Source organism: Homo sapiens, chromosome 10 (assembly GCF_000001405.40).
Source record: "Homo sapiens chromosome 10, GRCh38.p14 Primary Assembly".
NCBI classification, from domain to species: Eukaryota; Metazoa; Chordata; class Mammalia; order Primates; family Hominidae; genus Homo; species Homo sapiens.
In genome coordinates this window covers 34,368,282-34,388,232 of record NC_000010.11, presented here as the reverse complement: position 1 = coordinate 34,388,232, position 19,951 = coordinate 34,368,282, and the positions used below count along the sequence as shown (strand labels likewise).

General features: G+C 35.3%; 1 protein-coding gene across 11 annotated transcripts in view, besides 1 other annotated feature; it reads left to right on the top strand.

Moving 5' to 3' along the window:
- PARD3 (par-3 family cell polarity regulator) overlaps positions 1 to 19,951 on the top strand; it is a 705,736-nt gene that overhangs the window by 427,064 nt on the left and 258,721 nt on the right. For 6 of the 11 annotated variants that reach the window (NM_001184790.2, NM_001184791.2, NM_001184789.2 and 3 more), the window contains 4 exons: positions 3,979 to 4,104; positions 5,311 to 5,693; positions 10,127 to 10,266; positions 13,231 to 13,359. In NM_001184790.2, coding sequence (NP_001171719.1) covers positions 3,979 to 4,104; positions 5,311 to 5,693; positions 10,127 to 10,266; positions 13,231 to 13,359 — 778 coding nt within the window. Of the gene's footprint in view, positions 1 to 3,978; positions 4,105 to 5,310; positions 5,694 to 10,126; positions 10,267 to 13,230; positions 13,360 to 15,696; positions 15,736 to 19,951 lie in introns of all 11 variants that reach the window. The other 5 variants (NM_001184785.2, NM_001184787.2, NM_019619.4 and 2 more) reach the window with 1 other exon arrangement.
- Positions 7,127 to 7,256: an enhancer, noted in NCBI's record as "active region_3253". NCBI's record gives its function as "activates an Ori minimal core promoter by ATAC-STARR-seq in GM12878 lymphoblastoid cells {active_cell/tissue: GM12878}" and the evidence as "EXISTENCE:reporter gene assay evidence [ECO:0000049][PMID:35858748]".

The window sequence follows — 19,951 nt, the reverse complement described above, 5'->3', positions numbered from 1 at the left end:
ATAGTGTGGTTAAGTACTTAGAAATCAGCAGGCTACTAACTTCACCTTAATTCAGTCTGTTCCCTTGATTCCCTCATCTCTTGCTGTGTCAGTCAGGGTGATGTTCTTTCTCTTCTGCAGTCTTCTTCCACCCTCTATCTCCCAGCCCCCCATCAGGTCTCTTGTACTGAGTAAAAGGAATCTGAGATCTGAGATTTTCATGACTTATAACAATGTTGGTTGCTAAAGCCTCAGTTAATAAATTTCCATTATAGTTTCTATACGTGTGTGGTGTATTTATGATTTGTAGAATTTCTACTGTATGTTAGGATTGCTAATGCATTTGGCCATTGATGAGGACTTATTTAGAAAGACAACCATTCAAGAAATGGAACATTACATGCTTTTCTACTTTGGATTATTAGTCTAGAATGATTACCAGAAAAAAAACACATAGGTTTAAAACTGAAAAATTATGAGATGAATATAAATCTGTTCATCTACTTATCTGAAAAAAATTATTGATGTTACTTCTAGAATTAAAGAGCAGATTTCAGCTGGCACAGTGGCTCAAGCCTGTAATCCCAATACTTTTGGGAGGCCAAGTCCAGGAGTTCAAGACCAGCCTGGGCAACATAGTAAGAACCCAAGTCTACAAAACAAACAAACAAACTAGCCAGGGGTCGTGGCACACACCTCTAATCCCAGCTACTCAGGAGGCTGAGGCAGGAGGATTGCTTGAGCCCCGGGGTTTGAGCTTGCAGGGAGCTGTGATTGAGCCCAGTATACCTCCAGCCTGGGTGACAGAGCAAGATTCTGTCTCAAAAAAAATTAAAGTGAAAGGATTTATAAGTTACACTGTTTTAAGTTGTCATAAATACTGAAAGGATGTATCCAAGATAGTTTCATAAATTTAAATAAATGATCGGTGCTAATTAACTGCTAAGTAATTTCCATTGAAGACCGTTTATATATATATTTTTTGTAAAAATTTTCTATGGACTATTTTAGATTACACAAAATATAATACATAAAAACATACTAATTGTTAGTCACTTACATTTGCAGTAATATTGTAGTCATATTGGGAAATCGCTTATGATTTCACCAATTAAAAACTCATTAACTGGAGTGAGTCTTGGTAGGGCATATTTTTATTGCAAGGACTGAAAGCATACACATTCCAAAGTGTGTCTGGTTTATAGTGGTGGCTTTTAACTACAGCTGTGGCACCTCACATGTGGTTCTGTTATGATTACCTGTGGGTGACTGAGACATCGTTTCCTTCAAGATGTTCTTTGAAACTGAAGTGGTCAGATATCTTCTGCATGTTCTAGTGGTACCAGTAACTGTGATTTAATTTAATTTCTTGTATTAATCTTCCTCATTCATCGGAATCATAGATATATCTTAATAATTCTTTTTTTTTTTTTTTTGGACGGAGTTTTGCGTTGCCCAGGCTGGAGTGCAGTGGCGCGATCTCGGCTCACCGCAACCTCTGCCTCCTGGGTTCAAGCGATTCTCCTGCCTCAGCCTCCCAAGTAGCTGGGATTACAGGTGCCCGCCACCATGCCAAGCTAATTTTATACTTTTAGTAGAGAGGGGGTTTCTCCATATTGGTCAGTCTGGTATTGAACTCCTGACCTCAGGTGATCTGCCTGCCTCAGCCTTCCAAAGTGCTGGGATTACAGGCGTGAACCACTGTGCCCAGCCAATAATTCCTTTGATTCCTATGATAGAACACTTTGTTCAGTTGCAGATAGAAACAAACAATAGGGAATCCTAGGGAGATAAATTATGGACATGATCACATTTAAACAATAACTTCATTTTTGGTTTGGCATATTATGGAATCTCTTTCTCCCAAATATGAACTGAGAGTTAAGTTGCTCCTGAAGATAAATCAGTGTACTTTATTCTTACCTTTGAGTTGAGATAATTTTATGTCTTTATATAGCTGCAATAAATGATAATAAGTAACTAAATATTATCTACATAATATTGTTTTTACTAGTCACTAATATTTTTAGACTCATACACTAGTAGGTGCTGATTCTCAACGCTAAAATTACAATTCTTGCAAGCTGATAGGCTTCACTCTAGTATAATGCCACCTTATTATATTTATTAATAAAAGTTAGAATGAAATTAATCGTTGACCTTACTAATATCGTAAAAATGTTAAACTGCAAAATTACAAGTGAAATAGGACTTTTGTCTGAGTTTAATTTATTTCAGTTTCATCATATCTTTAGTAGAAATGATACTTTCATGAAGAAAGAATCTGAATCTAAATTCTATTCACTTGTATTCTATTTTGCAAAAAGCTTATAGAAATAGACTTGTTTGCCTCAGCTAACCTCAATCATGCCTTCATTCAGTTGTCATTTATCAAGACCTTACTACTAGTTCAGTGCTTGAACTGCTGAATCTTATGTTCTCTGTCTGCTAGGAGCTTATAGTCCACTAATAGAGATAAGGTATGTATATAAGAGAAGAATATGATAAATGCCCATGGAACAGATACAACAATTACTGGAAAAGTATAGAAGCAGCAGCTATCTATTTTGGTATATTTCTACTGGAAAACATACACAGATGACTGCAAGTTGTAATTCTCTTGGAAATCATTTAGACATTATTTGAAAATTAGGGTGTCTTCAATTTTAATTTATACTGGATTCTCAATTTTAGTGCCTGTGTAGGCATTTTTGTCTCTTTATTAGGATTATGAAAGAAAATACAAATTTTGGAAGTAAAAAGACTAAGTTCATATAAAAATTTTAATATCATGATACAAAATTTATGCCAGCCATCAAGTAATTAACAGTGGCTCATGCCTGTAATCCCAGCACTTTGGGAGGCTGAGGCGGGTGGATTACCTGAGGTCAGGAGTTTGAGACCAGCCTAGCCAACATGGTGAAACCCCAGCTCTACTAAAAATACAAAAAAATTAGCTGGGCATGGTGGCGCATGCCTGTGATCCCAGCTACTCAGGAGGCTGAGGCAGGAGAATCGCTTGAACCCAGGTGGTGGAGGTTGCAATGAACCAAGATCATGCTATTGCACTACAGCCTGGACGACAAGAACGAAACTCCATCTCAAAAAAGAATAAAATAAGACTAAAAAAATAAAAATAACAGCAATCAGAGCTAGGTTAAGACCCCTGTTGCTTATACTGTGATTTAAAGAAGTATTTCTTATTTGTCCCAGTCTGTATAGAATGTCCTGTCAGTTATGAAGTTAGTGTTCTAGAGCAAGTAGGGGGTCTCTCAAAGGTCATTCACACTTTTCTTTCAACCTGAGTGAGTACATATGTGGAAGAGATGAATGGTGATTGGCATTATTTGAACCTCTCACTGACGTTTTTCTGTTGGGTCATTTGTTTTTCCAAATGGGAATATTGACAATAAATGACTTACTTTTGGGAGACCTGACAGGTTTTGAAATTCACAATACTAAGCACTATCAAATTCAAATGCAAAGCATGGAAACTCCTTTATTCCTGAAATCTTTCCTATTATCATTCTCAAACCTGCAGTGCAATGAGGTTAGCTTTTCCTCATTACCTTTACTTTCACAGAAAGATGGGAGTTGCAGTCGTCTTTTAAGCTAGCGTGCCAGCTGGCTTAAAACAGAAAATTGCCCAAGCCATTCAAAAATACATGCTTATCCATCCTCCACACTGCAATACCCACTCAACCATTAGGCGGGCTCTGTTTGGGGCATTTGTAAACAGAGAGAGTGTTATAGCTTGTTCTAGAAACATAATACTGACCAGCCAGAAACTGATTTTTTACATTTATGGAAGGGATGCATTTTTACATGTCATTTTAACGTTGTGGTTTTTGTCTGTCATTTAAAAATGTATGAATAGTCATTTTAACATGCTCCTTTGTAAGGACATCTTTGTAAATATAATAACAGCATTAAAGTGGTAAGGCAGTGTGCATGGTGGAGATATTACATGTGTAATCATTTGCATTCTTAATGTTCCAGAACCCTGGGGTTATTAGTAAAACGATTGGAGAAAGGTGGTAAAGCTGAACATGAAAATCTTTTTCGTGAGAATGATTGCATTGTCAGGATTAATGATGGCGACCTTCGAAATAGAAGATTTGAACAGTAAGTGTGTGCTCGCTGCACTTCTGTTCTTACTTGCATTAGGCATGACAGAGTGCAGTCAGTTGAAATGCTTCAAACATGTCTGTGATCTCAGTCTGTATACTGGAGAGGAATATTTTCTGCCATTAGCTTTTAAAAATTTAAACATACTCAGTAATTAATACCATTAGACTATATTTCAAAATGTCCTCTGATGGATATAGCTCTTCTTAAGTATTATGGCCCCCATTTCAACTTTACAATTTTGCTGGTTCCTCTCCTTTTGGAAAATTGACAGTGTGCCCATTTTTATCATACTTTAACTCACCCGTCCACCTTTGCTGCACACAGTTTCTCTAGATACAAACAAGCAGATAAAGCTGTTTGTATCTGCTTGAGGTTGTATTCAGATACACTTTATCTTGGGTTGTATTCAGATACAATATTGGGTTGTATTCAGATACACTTTATCTTGATTCAGGCCCTTAGTCAATGAAAAACATAACAGTTGGCCAGTTCTTATAAAACAAGGCAGGAGCAAACAGAACTCTTAAGAACTTGAGGTCCTGACCAGGGAACCAGCATGAGAAAGAGCTGCTTCCCAGGCTGGTTGTATGGGTGCACTGTGACCCACAGCTGTCAACATTTTGAATTATTGAGCCTGGATTGCTGTTCTTGAGATTTTTACATATACCAACTTAATAAATAATTAATAGTTACTTTCTATAGTCTTCTAAGTGTGTGTGTGTGTGTGTGTGTATTTTAAAAATTTTAAATACACATCTAACCCAATCCAATATTCTAAATATAATTATAAAGCTCTGTCTTTCTTTGAAAACTTAAATTGAAGTATTTTGTAATGTCTACAAGTTGTATTAGACAATGTTGTAGAGAGAATGTTCCATTTGGTTTCTATTATTGAAATTATAATACTTGTTATACTTAAAACATGTTTAATGATTTACAGTTGAGAGGACAGAATTTTATCTGTAGTTGTAGATAATTTTTCTATTTTTATTGAGAGAATGAGAAATTTATATTTGAAGAAACAGCTATTGATAGATCAGAGCTGCAAACTTGATTGATAAATGGGTTATTAGAATTTTGCTTTTCAATTTCAACAGCCTGTCAGTTCTTATTGCTTAATTAGTAAACTTAATTAAGCTCATAATATCTTCTAGTCTGCCAGTCTTAATTTGCTAATTTTCTATTCTTTCTCAAACCCAGAGCACAACATATGTTTCGCCAAGCCATGCGTACACCCATCATTTGGTTCCATGTGGTTCCTGCAGCAAATAAAGAGCAGTATGAACAACTATCCCAAAGTGAGAAGAACAATTACTATTCAAGCCGTTTTAGCCCTGACAGCCAGTATATTGACAACAGGAGTGTGAACAGTGCAGGGCTTCACACGGTGCAGAGAGCACCCCGACTGAACCACCCGCCTGAGCAGATAGACTCTCACTCAAGACTACCTCATAGCGCACACCCCTCGGGAAAACCACCATCCGCTCCAGCCTCGGCACCTCAGAATGTATTTAGTACGACTGTAAGCAGTGGTTATAACACCAAAAAAATAGGCAAGAGGCTTAATATCCAGCTTAAGAAAGGTACGACCTATCCTGTTTTTGTTTTGTGGAATTTCTTTTCTTAGCAGCAACACACAAGGGTAGAAATGGAATTTATTTTAAAAGTCAACCTACTAACCCAAAGCACCCTGAGTCTTATCTAATTATTTTGTGAAAGAACTGATAGATTTTTTAAAGTTACTTACCTTTTAACATATTTCAAATTGTATTTCTTATATGTCTCAGGTTTATTTTGCTCTGTAGAAATTAAAATGTAAAAGTGCAGAGAATAAGACTATGTCTATGAGAAGAAGATAGCAGTTACTGTAGTAAAATTTTTGATTGTGAAAGAAAATGGCTTCAGGACATTAATATCAAATGCAGAACAATAGTAAGGATTTGACCATTTTGACTGCCCCATTTGCTGTATAAGTCCAGCCCTCAAGGAGGACTTTAGAGGTAGTGCACGTCAATCTCAGTATTTGATGTGGGGAGGGACCAATTTGTTTGAGGCTGCCAGGAGTTTATAGTAGGTTGCTGAGAAGCCAGGCCATTGACTCTTGTCTTTTGTTTTCTTGTATTATTGCATTACTTCCCTTTCTTTTTTTTCTTTTCTTTTCCTCTCTTTTCTTTTTCTTTCTTTTTTTTTTTTTTTTTTTTTTTTTTTTTGAGACAGGGCCTTTCTTTGTTGCCCAGGCTACAGTGCAGTGGTGCAGTCATAGCTCACCGTAGCCCGCAACACCCCATGTCAGCCTTCCAAGTGCTGTGACTAGAGGCACATGCCGCCATGCCCATCTCATTTACAAATTTTTTGTTGTGTTGGAGTCTTGCCATGTTGCCCAGGTTGATCTGGAACTCCTGGCCTCAAGTAGTCCTTCTACCTCGGCTTCCCAAAGTGCTGGGATTATGGAAGTGAGCCACCATGTCCAGGCCTGCTTCTCTTTCTTATGGTGATGTGGAAGTCATGATGTCGATTGCCGATTCTTCATACATCTTCCATCCATTATGTATTTTAGTACCCTTCCTGTATACAGTGGATCTCTGTATAGAGAGCATGTTCTTGCAGTTTGCCTCCTTCAAAGTTGAGTGCAAACTATTGGACTTGACTTTATGATTTTCACCCAATGTTTCGTCCAGGCACCAAGATACACTTTTACTGTTCCTGATCCATTTTAGCTGAGCATTTTGATATATTTTTAAATCATGTCTTTCAAAATGGTATTATTATAAAGAATATTTTTTTTTATAGGCTCAACCATCAACTCTTATAGTTGGATGGAAATGATTCCAAGAGAGGTTCATTATTTCCTCAGGTCATGTGGCTGTTGGCCACAGATTCTTACTAGTATGTTTTCCATATCCGGATATTCAGACCATTCTTCTTTACATTTGGGGTAGCATTTACAAGGTTGTAAACTCTGAGACTGCTGTTTCCTTTCTAACTCATATTCTTTCAGTGAACTTTATGTGAACCTCAAGTTTCTTATTTCTGGTTACTGGTTTTTAAGCTCTAAATACTTGGTTGACATGATCAGGAGTTGACAGCTTGCCTCGTTGCAAACACAGAGTCATATCAACAGAAACCCCTTTAGCTCTGTCAATTCCTAAATGAGAGAAATATCACATCCTCTTTCCTCCTTTTGCTCTACTTAAATGACAGGCCCTTGTTTTTAACCAAAAACATATCAAGAACTACAAATAGAATCGTATAAAAAATAAAATTCTGCTTGATATCTCTAAACAAAGGTACAGTATTTTGCTTCACCATTGTCATAAAGATACTGGTTCATAAATATCTTTTCCTTTTTACACTGATACAGCAATATTCATTTAGTTAATTATGGTTTTTCAAAAATTAGGATATTTGACAAATCATGATATAACATGAACTTTTTAAATGAGGTGATTTGCCATTAAAAGTACCATTGTTTTGCTAATGAAAGAATGAGAAATACAAAGGAAATCTGAAGTGAGAAGATAAAGGTAAAGTATTAAACAGAATACAGATTCTCCAAAAAAAGGAAAATAATGAGTATATCTAATTTTTATGTTATAGTAAGTCTGAAGTGATAAATAAATCAAATTGATACATTTTACTTACAAAACTGGTACCATTGTTTTGAATACAGATATTATTTTAATAGCATTTAATGAAAAATATGATTGCATTTACACAAGCTAATTTAGAAAGACTATGCTTAATCACTGAAAGGAGAAACAATGGTTTTAAGTGTTTTTCAGACCTTGAGTAATCTTAATGATATAGAGTCCCATAGATCTATCTTGATTTTAATTTACCAACTGTGAGAATGTATGACAAAAAGCACATGCTGCTTGTGCATGCTGCCAATACTTACAAATATTTTATATAAAAATTATGTTTACTATAAATGTGGGGAAGAATGCTGATTATCTTTGATTAGGACTAAATGCATATATTTTAATAATAATGAATGTAGGAGAATTGAACAGGCTTTCCTTGTAGCTAGCAGATTTTTTTCTTACAAGTTATTACATTTATTAGTGAAGTACATTAAAAACATAGGGTGTGTCAGTGTTAAACTTCAGATTCAGTTCAAAGTGAGCTAATGTGCTTTGAGTGGCAGCAGTTCTTCAAAAACTGGAATCAACTCTTAGTACAAAAAAAGATGTCAGTATAATTATTCTTTGGCCTAATTTTGGAGCTATGTTATATAACATGACAACAGAATAGCCTCAGTGTACTTGCTTCCATAATTATGATTTCTTAATATTTATTGCCATTTTGGTATTCTCAAATACCCAGCTCTTTTGTAGAAATTAGCTTTTTAATAAAGTCAGAGGAGAAGGTCAGTAATCTGTTTCAGTCAGTGCAGAATGTTTTGTTGGCTTTGTTAAATGAAAATTGATATCTACTTATCTTTCCTTGAAAGGTCATTGCCTGAACTTTTAGCTTACAGATTTAGGGGTTGTTGCTGATATTTTAATAGTATTGAGGTTCCTACAACAGTCAGCATTCATAGTTCAAAAAAGTTAGTATTGCAAAAGGAGAGTAATTAAGAATTCTTTCTTAATAAATGTTATTGCAAGTCATTAGAGTTTCATGAAAGCAGAGACATATGGAAAAATCTCCCCAGAGCAATAACAAACATTTCATATAGACAGTATGCCATTCAGGTGTTCAGCATGGAAGACATCAGAAATATTAATAGTCCAAGCACCCTAAAGTGACTTCAGACTAAAGTAAATGAATGCTTTGTTTGATGTTGAGAATAACTATGGTAGGTTTTGCTACAGGAATAACTATGGAGTGTTTTCTTTATTTCTCCTTTAATGTTTCTTTAATCTACATTTTTATTCACCCTTTTTTGTTCACTTATATTTTATACTTTTCATTACAGTTTTATACTGAGTGATGTATCAGATTAATGTGCTCTTTTCTAGATTTTTCACCTTTACAGATCTCTTTATTCTTCCCATAATGAGCAAGCATTTGCCTTAACAATATTTTAACTGAAATGGAAACTAATATCTTAAGAAGTAACTTTTTAAAAAAGCTTAGGTAGAAATCATTATTGTAAAAATGTTGTGATTCATTACAAATGTATCATTATCTCCCCAGTTTTTCCTGGGCACGTGTTGGCTTCTTGCGTCTTGATTCTAGTGACATATAAACACTTTTCTGCTTTGTATTGAGCATGTAAGACTGTCTGTCAAGAAAGCTGCCAAAGAAATGAGAATTTAAATTCTGTGAATCATCAGAGTAATTTATAAATGCATCATTAATTTAGTACCTTTAAGCATAATATGATCCCCAGATTTGGTAGCCATGATCTGAGATGGAGTCTTCACTGAGTAATTTGCCTTGTTTGGGAGTGGGGGGTGGTGAAGGAAATATACATGGTAAGATTTAGGTGAATTAGAAGTGAACTAGGCAAAGATAATTTGGTTTATGGTTTATCCTCTTAGTAAACTGCTTTGAATAATTATGATTTTGGGAGGTTCCATTACCTCTATCTAGAGATACCTCTCATTTCACTGTTCTTTTCCATCTCCCTGGACATTTTTGTTTCCCTTGCTCATACCTCCTACCCTTAAAATTTGGATGTCATTATTGCACAATAATACTTGAGTTTTGAGGTACTGTGGGTCTTAACAGAAGTTTTTTTCTTTCTTCATGTAGTGAATTTCCTATTCAAAGATTTACATTGATTTAAAAACTTTTAGCAGTCATATTTACATATTAACTTTCATCTGTCTTTGAGAAGATTGCTGTTTCTTCTTAGATTAATAACTGTTGATATGTAAACCATTTAAACCTTCCACAATTTAGTCTATTTTGAAAAATTTATTACAACTTTTAAAGTAGTAGAAGAAATGTGGACCATTGTGAAAGTTACAAAATGTCAAGTTGAGGTTGAGTATACTGGTGCAATACACCTGTAAAATTCAAGATATCTCATTTTATTTACTTTTCTTCTCCTTCACATACCTAGGTACAGAAGGTTTGGGATTCAGCATCACTTCCAGAGATGTAACAATAGGTGGCTCAGCTCCAATCTATGTGAAAAACATTCTCCCCCGGGGGGCGGCCATTCAGGATGGCCGACTTAAGGCAGGAGACAGACTTATAGAGGTAAGTGACTTCCCCAGCAGGATGTTCCCTGATTCTTGAAATGTTCCATTTCCAGGAGCCAACTTTTAAAAACATTTTCATAAAATATGAAATTCAGTTATATACATTTTAGCGGAAGTATGCGTCACAAAATGTGTTTCTGTTTTATGTTTAGATTTTCCATGTTATTTTTTATATATATTTTTTTAATTGTTAAAATTTTTGTAGAGGCAGAGTCTTGCTATGTTGCCCCAGCTGGTCTTGAATTGCTGGCCTCAGGCGATCCTCTTGCCTCCCAGTGTGCTGGGATTACAGGTGTGAGCCATCGTGCCCAGCTCTTTTTTCCATGTTATCTGATGAGAAATTATCTTTCCATTTATTTATTTATTTTTTTTTATGAGATGGAGTCTCGCTCTGTCGCCCAGGCTGGAGTGCAGTGGCACAATCTCAGCTTACTGCAGCCTCCACCTTCTGGGTTCAAGTGATTCTCCTGCCTCAGCCCCCCTGGTAGCTGGGACTACAGGCGTGCACCACCATGCCTGGCTAATTTTTGTATTTTTCATAGAGACAGGGTTTCACCACATTGGCCAGGCTGGCCTTGAACTCCTGCCTTGGCCTCCCAAAATGCTGGGATTACAGACGTTAGCCCTCATGCCCAGCCCCATTTAGTTTAGTTATAAATTTTTAGTTACTCAGACATTTGGTTTATGAGGTAACATTTTGTCATATAAAATGTCTGTAAGGTTACGTTTCTAAATGGCTTTATATTTATGTCTGGCAATGTGGAAATGTATTCAGAACAGAGACAGATGAAATAAATGAAAACAGTGTTCCTTGATAAGAGGAGCAAGGAAATCTTGAAATGGCAGCATGGAGAATAAATTGAGTCATAAGAGTCAAATGTCAGGAAAGAAAAGAAAAATCGTTTTTGAATTTTTTTTCTATGTCTTATGAGTTTGGGTTCATTGGTATTTGAAGCTGCCTTGGAAATAGATTAACATACATAATTTGTGTTTGTGTGATGGTTTGCACATAAAAGAGAAAATTGAAAAATATGTTTTAAACCATTTTTCTTAGTTTTTTTTAAAGAAAATATAGTCTGTATTTTTATTAGCAGATACTGCATTTCCTAATTAACTAGTATTCAAATATTAATGCTAAGGTAAACTTTTACCACACTATCCTTTTTTCTTATAGTTTCATATATGGTTTCTATCTCTCCAGATTGAGTTCTCCTAAAGAATTTTTGTAAAGTAGGGGAGGAGAGGGATACCGTCTGTATTTTTTTCCATGTCTACATTTGGAGCCTAGATCCCTTAAATTTTATTCCCACTGTTTTGGTCCTGTGCATGTGACAACGTATGTTAAATAGGCACTGTTAGAAGCTAAATAACAGATGTTTGAGTACAAATTATGTTAGGGTCCTGCTTCCTGAAAAAGCCACTTGTCCTGGGGTTATAAATTGAGTGGTACGTTAGCCCACGTCTGCAGTCGTAGCTTGTTTTATTTGTAAGAGTCTCTGCTGGGACTTGAATTCAGTCCTCCTGTCTTCTGAGTCCAAAAAAATATCTGTCCTTTTCTGGCTCTCTCCGTCTTTCTTTCTAAAGATAATTGCTTTATTATTGAGTCACTTTTTTCTTTTATCACATAATCGCTTTACTTTCAACATATCAGAAAAACCTTTTTATTTTAAAGCAGTGAGAAAGACCTGCAACCTGCATGTCTTTCGAGTTAGGCTTTATTTCCATAGCTGTCATCTTTGTCTTAAAATGGAAACTTCATTTTTGCATGCTTTAAGCCCAACCTTCTAGTATCTACAGTTGTAGCTATACAATATTGATACTTACGTGCATTTTCTCTGAGTGTCTAGATAATTAGAATCATACAAAGAAAAAAGGATCAAGTGACTTAATTGTCTAGATTTTTTTTCACTTTCTTTTGTTTGAGTACAAATTATGTTTAGGGTTCTGCTTCCTGAAAAGGCCGCTTGTCCTTGGGGTATAAATTGAGTGGTATATTAGCCCATGTGTGCAGTCGTAGCTTGTTTTATTTTGTAAGAGTCTCCACTGGAACTTGAATTCAGTCCTTCTGTCTGCAATTCCTTAATAGTAGTACCTTGAGGTATATGAGGTTGATTTTTTTCAGAAGGGGAAATGTTCTGAAATATATTTTAACTACAGGAAAATTTTGATACTGTAATTTAAGTTATAAACTTATTTGCCTTGGACAAAATGTCTTTTTTGTCTAAAAAGAAAAATGTAGAATACCTTTTAAAGGAAACATATGCTCTCATTTCTGTGGAGTATATAGTGCTTTCTGATAATGATGTTATACTTCCTGTTAGATAAAAGATTCCCTAAGAACAAGTTGTTTTAAATTTTTTTCCTGCTTGAATTCTCTCATAACATTGAAAAAATTTCAGCTGAAATATTGCTTCCCTGCTAAAAAATATTGTTTTGTAGTTTCTTTAATGTTTACCTTTTAGAGGTAAAGTGTTTTATTTATATTTATCAGTAAAATTTCATTTAAAGTGAAAATACTGTACCAAAATATTTTTGGTGTGTTTTTATTACCCTTTATAAGAGCAACACCTTTTTATTTTGGTGTAAGAAAACCTATGATGCACAAGGCTATCAAAATATCTCTGTTCTAAGCCAGTAAGTTTTGTGTTAACTTGACATTTTTGAAATATTTATTGCTTGGTACTTGTCAATGCCCTGGTGATTGTCACTTTGGGTTTAATGATGAACACTAAAAGATTGACCACTTCCTCTCTTCTAGATATCTGGTCTTAGTTTCTTTATTAGTCACAAAACCTTAGTGGTTCCCAGATCATGGCAGAATTGTGCATGAAATGAGTTATGTTCCATAGCAGATATGGCTAGTCCTAGAGTGTGTGTGTGTGTGTGTGTGTGTGTGTGTGTGTGTGTGTGTTTTCCTGTTGTTTCCACAGGATTACAGCTGAAAACTTTTGTTTTGTTTTAGGTAAATGGAGTAGATTTAGTGGGCAAATCCCAAGAGGAAGTTGTTTCGCTGTTGAGAAGCACCAAGATGGAAGGAACTGTGAGCCTTCTGGTCTTTCGCCAGGAAGACGCCTTCCACCCAAGGGAACTGGTGTGTAAATTTAGAGTAGATGAAAGATTTCTGATATGCAGCAGCCAGGGGTCTGGGTTAGTTGCCTGATGGCAAATGTTTATTGAGACATTTTCTGAGGAGTTTCTAGATCTTATATTTCTTTCAGCCCTCACTGAATACAAACATTCTTTTCTCTAATACTCCCTTAGTTTCAGAAATGGATATCCTCAGTAATGAATGGAGGGGTACTTAAACATCAGACTGTAGGGATATTTTCAAGGGCATCAAATGTTCATCACTGTACACCCTCAGATGGACTGACTGAATACAGAGACGCCGATTATTTCAGAACTGTCACTCCACAGACTGTCGCTGAAAGCTTGCCATCTTCCACACTGCATATGACAAATTTTCATATTTCACATTTTCATAGTACATGTCAGTAAGCCAAATAGATGCTTGCTTCCTTACTGTTGTATGAAAAGGAATACCTTTTTAAAAAAATTATTATTAAAAATAAAAAGACCTAAGTGGCAATAAGCCTCATGGCTATTAATTATACAAATATAGGTCATGTTACTTAGGATGACATAAATGAAGGAAATGAAAAGGCATTTACAACTTTTGCAACCTATCTCCTTCACTTTCCATACATACATTAATACATCTGAGTATTTACATGGTATTGGTGTGAATGAAATAAGTGTCTTAAATGTACATAGTTCTGAGTGGTTTTCTGCAAAAGTGCTAGGTTTCATTTATATATAAAAATGACATAATTGGAGGAGTTGCCTTTGTCTTTTGATGTGGTAAGAAAATTGTTTTATTTCAAGTACAAGTGGTATTTTAAATATTTCAAAACAGATTCTACTTGGATCATTTTGGAATACATCCTTTTCATCTAGCTCTTAGTGCTAAACAAAAATTAATTTGTATAATCTAGAGTGACAAGGTTTTAGAAACGAGGTTTCCAAATTTATCATATAGCCCAAATTCTCTTGTGTCTTCAAGTATGGATGTGTTATGATAAAAATAACTATATTTTATTCTCTATATAAACTATTTCTATAAATATTATAAATGAAAAAATTTTAGTCATAATATCTTATCCCCTGGTTACACACAGGTCTTAAAACTTAATGTGGATTTTGTGGAAATTTCAGACAGTGATAGGGTTGAAAAGTGAACACTTTTGTTTTAAGTAGATTTTGAATAAATTATGAAAACTTCTTTATATTTAAAAATGTTTAATGCATTATTTCTCAATTTAAATTCAGTTTTTCGTTTTCCCCCCACTGTTATCCAATTTTGTGCTTAAAATGCCACCTGATCCTAAATCTGGAGATGTCTCTATTAAATTGTAAATGAGCACTTAAAAAAAAAAAACAACTAGCTTTCCATGTGATTTGCCGAAGCTTTAATTCTTCCTCAGTGTCTCGGAGTGCACTAGTTAGCATTATTAGATTGCCAAAGCTTAGACACTGCTCTTAAGCAGCCTTTTCCAGAGTTAGTGCCAGCATATAGCCAGCTTAAGGTTATTCAGGTTCTTCTTGTCCAATTTTGATCTTCCAGGCTTCTGTTTTTCCCTTCTGCTACCTACTTTTTTTTTTTCTTGGTTATGTAATTTATTGCTTGTGAGCTTTTCATTAAGGAGTACGCCAGTAGGCCGTCAGTCTATTATGCATGTTGCAGCTGCTTCTCAAAATTTAAGAGAATAAAATCCTGAAAATTTAAAGGGAGGGGACATTTAAAAATAATCTTGAATCCAGTAGACGTAACTATTTTCCTCTGTTTGGGGTGTCTGTGTTTAAATTCTGTGTGTCTAAATCTAAATACTTTTATCAATCGGTGCCTTTTTTTAATAAATCATCCTTGTAAGTTCCTAGGTAATTAAGGCAAATCAACATTATAGGAAAAAAAAATCATGTTTATTTCCTGTGCAACATTTTAAAGTATAAAGCTGTGGTTCAGACTGTGGTTCAAACTGTTATTATCTGGTCTAGTTATCAAATGATTCTATACCTTAAAACTTTGATTTGATTGGGAAAATTTTAAAGCAAAATTAGAAACAGTGCCATGATTAGGAAAGCAGTTTGGTGAGACTTGTTTTCCTCCAGATAATAAATTCATGATGTACTGTGAATGAGCAAGTAAAAATGTATATCTAGAAAAATTTCTTAAAACACACACATAAACACACACATCAGCAAAATTTTGGAAGACAGAGCATTATGTCAGCCATCATATAATTACCCTTTATATATTTTGTGGATTTTAAGAATCAACAAAATTTTCTTTAAAATAAATCATTGTGTCCCTGTGTGTTGAAGATGGCTTTGGTCAGTCTGTATTTATGTTTTTCTTCAATTCTTCTAGAATGCAGAGCCAAGCCAGATGCAGATTCCAAAAGAAACGGTAAGAGCTTTGTCTTTTGAAGGATGCAGAGATGTTGGAAAGATACATGGAACTAACTTCTTACTAATTTAATACGAAGTTACTTGTCCTGCCTTTTCCTGGCTCGTAATATTTAATACATGGGTTTATTAAATGCCAAAGTGGTCTTATTTTAAGGTGACTTACTGTTACCACCCCAAATGGAGTATATTTTGTGATTAATTTTGGTCAGATAGACGCAAAAAAGAGAGAGACTTCCTATTCACTTGCAAAGTGAGGACCAAAGCTTAGTTGTTTGGCATATATGCAAAGTATTTCATGAGTTGTGAAATGCTAAATTATAAGTGGCCACAAAATGGAAAGAAAAGTTAAAAAACTTGATTCAATCATGGAAAAAAAGGGAGGGCTAAGAGAATACAGTAAAAAAAGTATACACAGGAAAATTAAAGTGACGTGTCAGTATTAGGCTAAGCATAGTTGTTAGAATAACTATAAAAGAGATAATTTAACAAAAGTTAAGGACTCACAGCTCACATTAAAATGCAAACATAGTTGCATCCTGTTAAGAAAACAAGTCCTGAGACAGACTGGGGATAAAAGAGTAAGCTTAGTTCCAGCAGGCAGAACTAACACAATAAAAGGAAGGATTGCTCTATCAGTCTCTGTGATGATGCGCTATATGGGAGTAAAAAGGGCATTTTATATTGACATGGTAGAAATTCTAACAATCAGGATCTTTTTTCCTTTTTACATCAAACAACATAGCACAAAAACATTCATTCTCAAACTATCGTAAATGGAAAATTTAGCAAAGTCATTTCCATAGTAGGTAATGTCAATATGTCCCTTTCCAAAAATTTTTACATTGTTGACTAAAGAAAAAATATAATGAATTTAAATAACATAATAAACAGGTTTCATTTTCTGTACAGCTTTATAAACAGGCAACTTTGAACTAATGTTATTTTTCAAATATTCCTTCGTTGTTTTTTTTTTTTTTTTTTTTTTTTTTTTTTTTTTTTTTTTTTTTTTGAGTCTAGAATCTCACCATATTTCATGGCTCACTGCAGCCTTGACCTCCTGAGCTCAAGTGATCCTCCTATAAATATTCCACAATTCTAAAAACAGGTGACAAATTACATCTTGGAGGAAAATCAGTAAACAACCTTGAGAATATTCCACATTAATAAGTGTGTGTTGTAGACAATTCCTAGCTTTAATTTTTGGCTTATAAAATAAATAGGGCAATTATATCTAATCAAAATCACACTGATATTTATGTGTTGGGGTAGGTTAGATAAGGGGAAATTGGACAAATTGATTCTAAATAATAAAATGGGGTACAATAGCAATTTATACTACTCTTTGAAAAGACAATAATTGTGGCAGAGTATATATAATATAAAGCTACAATACCTAAAACAGCATGGCATTGTTATAGGGTTAAACAAATAGATCATTTAAACAGATTAAGGGTTACAGAAACTGACATGATGTGCATAGGTATGTGCATGTGTGTTAAAGATGGCACTTCAAATTAGTAGCTTTAAAAGGATAGTTTACGTAGTGTTTATAACAATTGCCCATTTATTTAGAAAAGTTAGCTTTTTCTCACCATATCTCAAAATAAATGGAAAAGATCTATAAAACAAAATAGATCCACAGTCATTTACACACACACACACACACACACACACACACACACACACACCCCATTTGTATCTGTACCATGAAATAGTTATAGAATAAATGCAAAAGGAGGAAGTATTTACAATGTGATCCTTAGGGGAAGAGCTATTCCTTTATGGTTTAGGATAAGTATCATAGAATATTTTGGAAAACTCAATGACTTTGCACACAAACTCCATCTATTAATGTCTGAGACAATCTGAGATGGAAAATGATGCTTTAAGTAGTAAAGATAGGGATGTTCTTTCGAAACATGTAGTCAGGGCCAGGTGCAGTGGCTCACACCTGTAATCCTAGCACTTTGGGAGGATCACTTGAGCCCAGGAGATTAAGACCAGTCTGGGCAACACAGCGAGACCTCATCTCTACCAAAAAGTTAAAAATAAACAACAATAAAAAACATGTAGTCAGTCGTGTTGAGGAAACTGATGATCGGCTGTGAATTCCTCAGTCACCAGAGGGAAAGAAGCATCTTTTGATGTGGTATTCTGTTAAGAAATGCAAGCTGCATTTCAGTTCACAACCTGTGTGTTTATGGTAGCATGACATGGTGACTGGGAGTCACCTTAAAAAAGGAAGTCATATATACTTTTACATGTGTCTGACTTCTAGTTACGCTTGGACTTTTTTTTCTAATACGAGTTTCCCAAACAAAGTTAAAAGTATAGTTTAGTTTGAAATATTATTTGTTTCTTAATTTTTTATGCGTGCTCTCACATCTGTGCCTCTCTTTGTGCTCCAGGTATGCGGTATCATTTTGAGTTGTAAAAGGCTTAATATTAACATGATAATTTAAGAAATTGACAGGGGCACAGTCTCTGCCTTTCTACCTTTTGATGGCCAAGGATCTGTTTTAGGCTTTTTGAATATTGCTAGTTCTTGGCACATAGTATTGCTCAAGGAAAACTCCGTGATAGGCTTTTGCTCTTTTTATTAGTGTTTCTTAATGACTTGTTTTAGGTTCTAGGTCTGTGAAATCTTTGATTATCTATTTTGTCAATGCCTAGAAATGGGGAGGAGGGGAGCACTAATGATTTCACCACAAATCCAAGTCCAATGCTCACTTTCATTTTGGGCTTTCTCAGGGTTGATTTTGGAGCAAACCATGGTATATCAACTTTAAACCACAGGAATGGTAACTGTGCATACAGTTATGATTCTTTTTCTTTTCCTGCAGGAGATATATTACTTCTGTCAGGAACTATATGTGATTTATACAGGCTTACAAAAAATAGAAGACAGTTTCTTTCACCTCTAATGCTTAACATTGCTTATAACGTTGCAGTCCTATCTATGACTGGCATTTATTCATCAGTTATTGTGTGAAACTCTTTATGTGGATTATCTTATTTAATCTTTACAATGTCCATGACTTAGTTCAGGCACGTCCAATATCTTGGCTTCCCTGGGCCACACTGGAAGAAGAATTGTCTTGGGCCACACATAAAATACACTAACACTAACGATAGCAGATAAGCCAATAAATAAATAAATAAATAAATAAATAAATAAACAAATAAATAAATAAATCACAAAAATCTCATAATGTTTTCAGAAAGCTTAGGTAGGAATTTGTGTTGGGCCACATTCAAAGCCATCCTGGACCACATGCGGCCCACAGATCTCAGGTTGGACAAGCTTGACTTAGTTGGTGATATTATCCTATTGAAAGGGGAGGAACAAAGAATTAACCTTAGGACACTCCAAATCTTGGAGCCAGCCATAAACTCAGGTTGTCTGACACCAGAATCTGCAGGGCAGATTTTATTTCTCCTTAATGTGACTTAGTATGTTGAGGGGGGAAAAAAAAAAGCTAAGCTACATATATAGTTTCAGGTAATACAGTATGAGTTCCATGTTGGAGGCTGATAAACTATGACTGAATTTTTTTTAAATAAACAAGTAATAAAGAAATCCAGGGTTAGATGCCATCTCATTAGTCAAGATAGTGGGAAGAGATCTTGTTGATTTTTTTTTTTTTTTTTTTTTTACATTGCTCATGGATTGATACATAGGCTTTCCTAGAACACGCGTTTAGTACCATTGATTTCCATTAACTACTGCATGGACACTTCTGTCCTTTCCCAGCCCAGTGACCAGTTTTGCAAATACTTTCTCCTGACTTGGGCTGCTCCCACCTTCTTCTTTTTTTTTGTTTGAGATGGAGTCTCGCTCTGTCTTCCAGGCTGGAGTGCAATGGTGCGATCTTGGCTCACTGCAAGCTCCACCCCCCGGGTTCACACTATTCTCCTGCCTCAGCCTCCTGAGTAGCTGGGACTACAGGTGCCCGCCACCATGCCTGGCTAATTTTTTGTATTTTTAGTAGAGACAGGGTTTCACCGTGTTAGCCAGGATGGTCTCAATCTCCTGACCTCATGATCCACCTGCCTCGGCCTCCCAAAGTGCTGGAATTACACGCGTGAGCCACCGCGCCCGGCCTGCTCTCACCTTCTTTGCCTGTCCATACGGACGCCAACTTCTAATCCTACTGACTTCTACCTATCTCATGAGGCTTACCCTAACCGGAACTAGTGTTCTCTCCCATTTT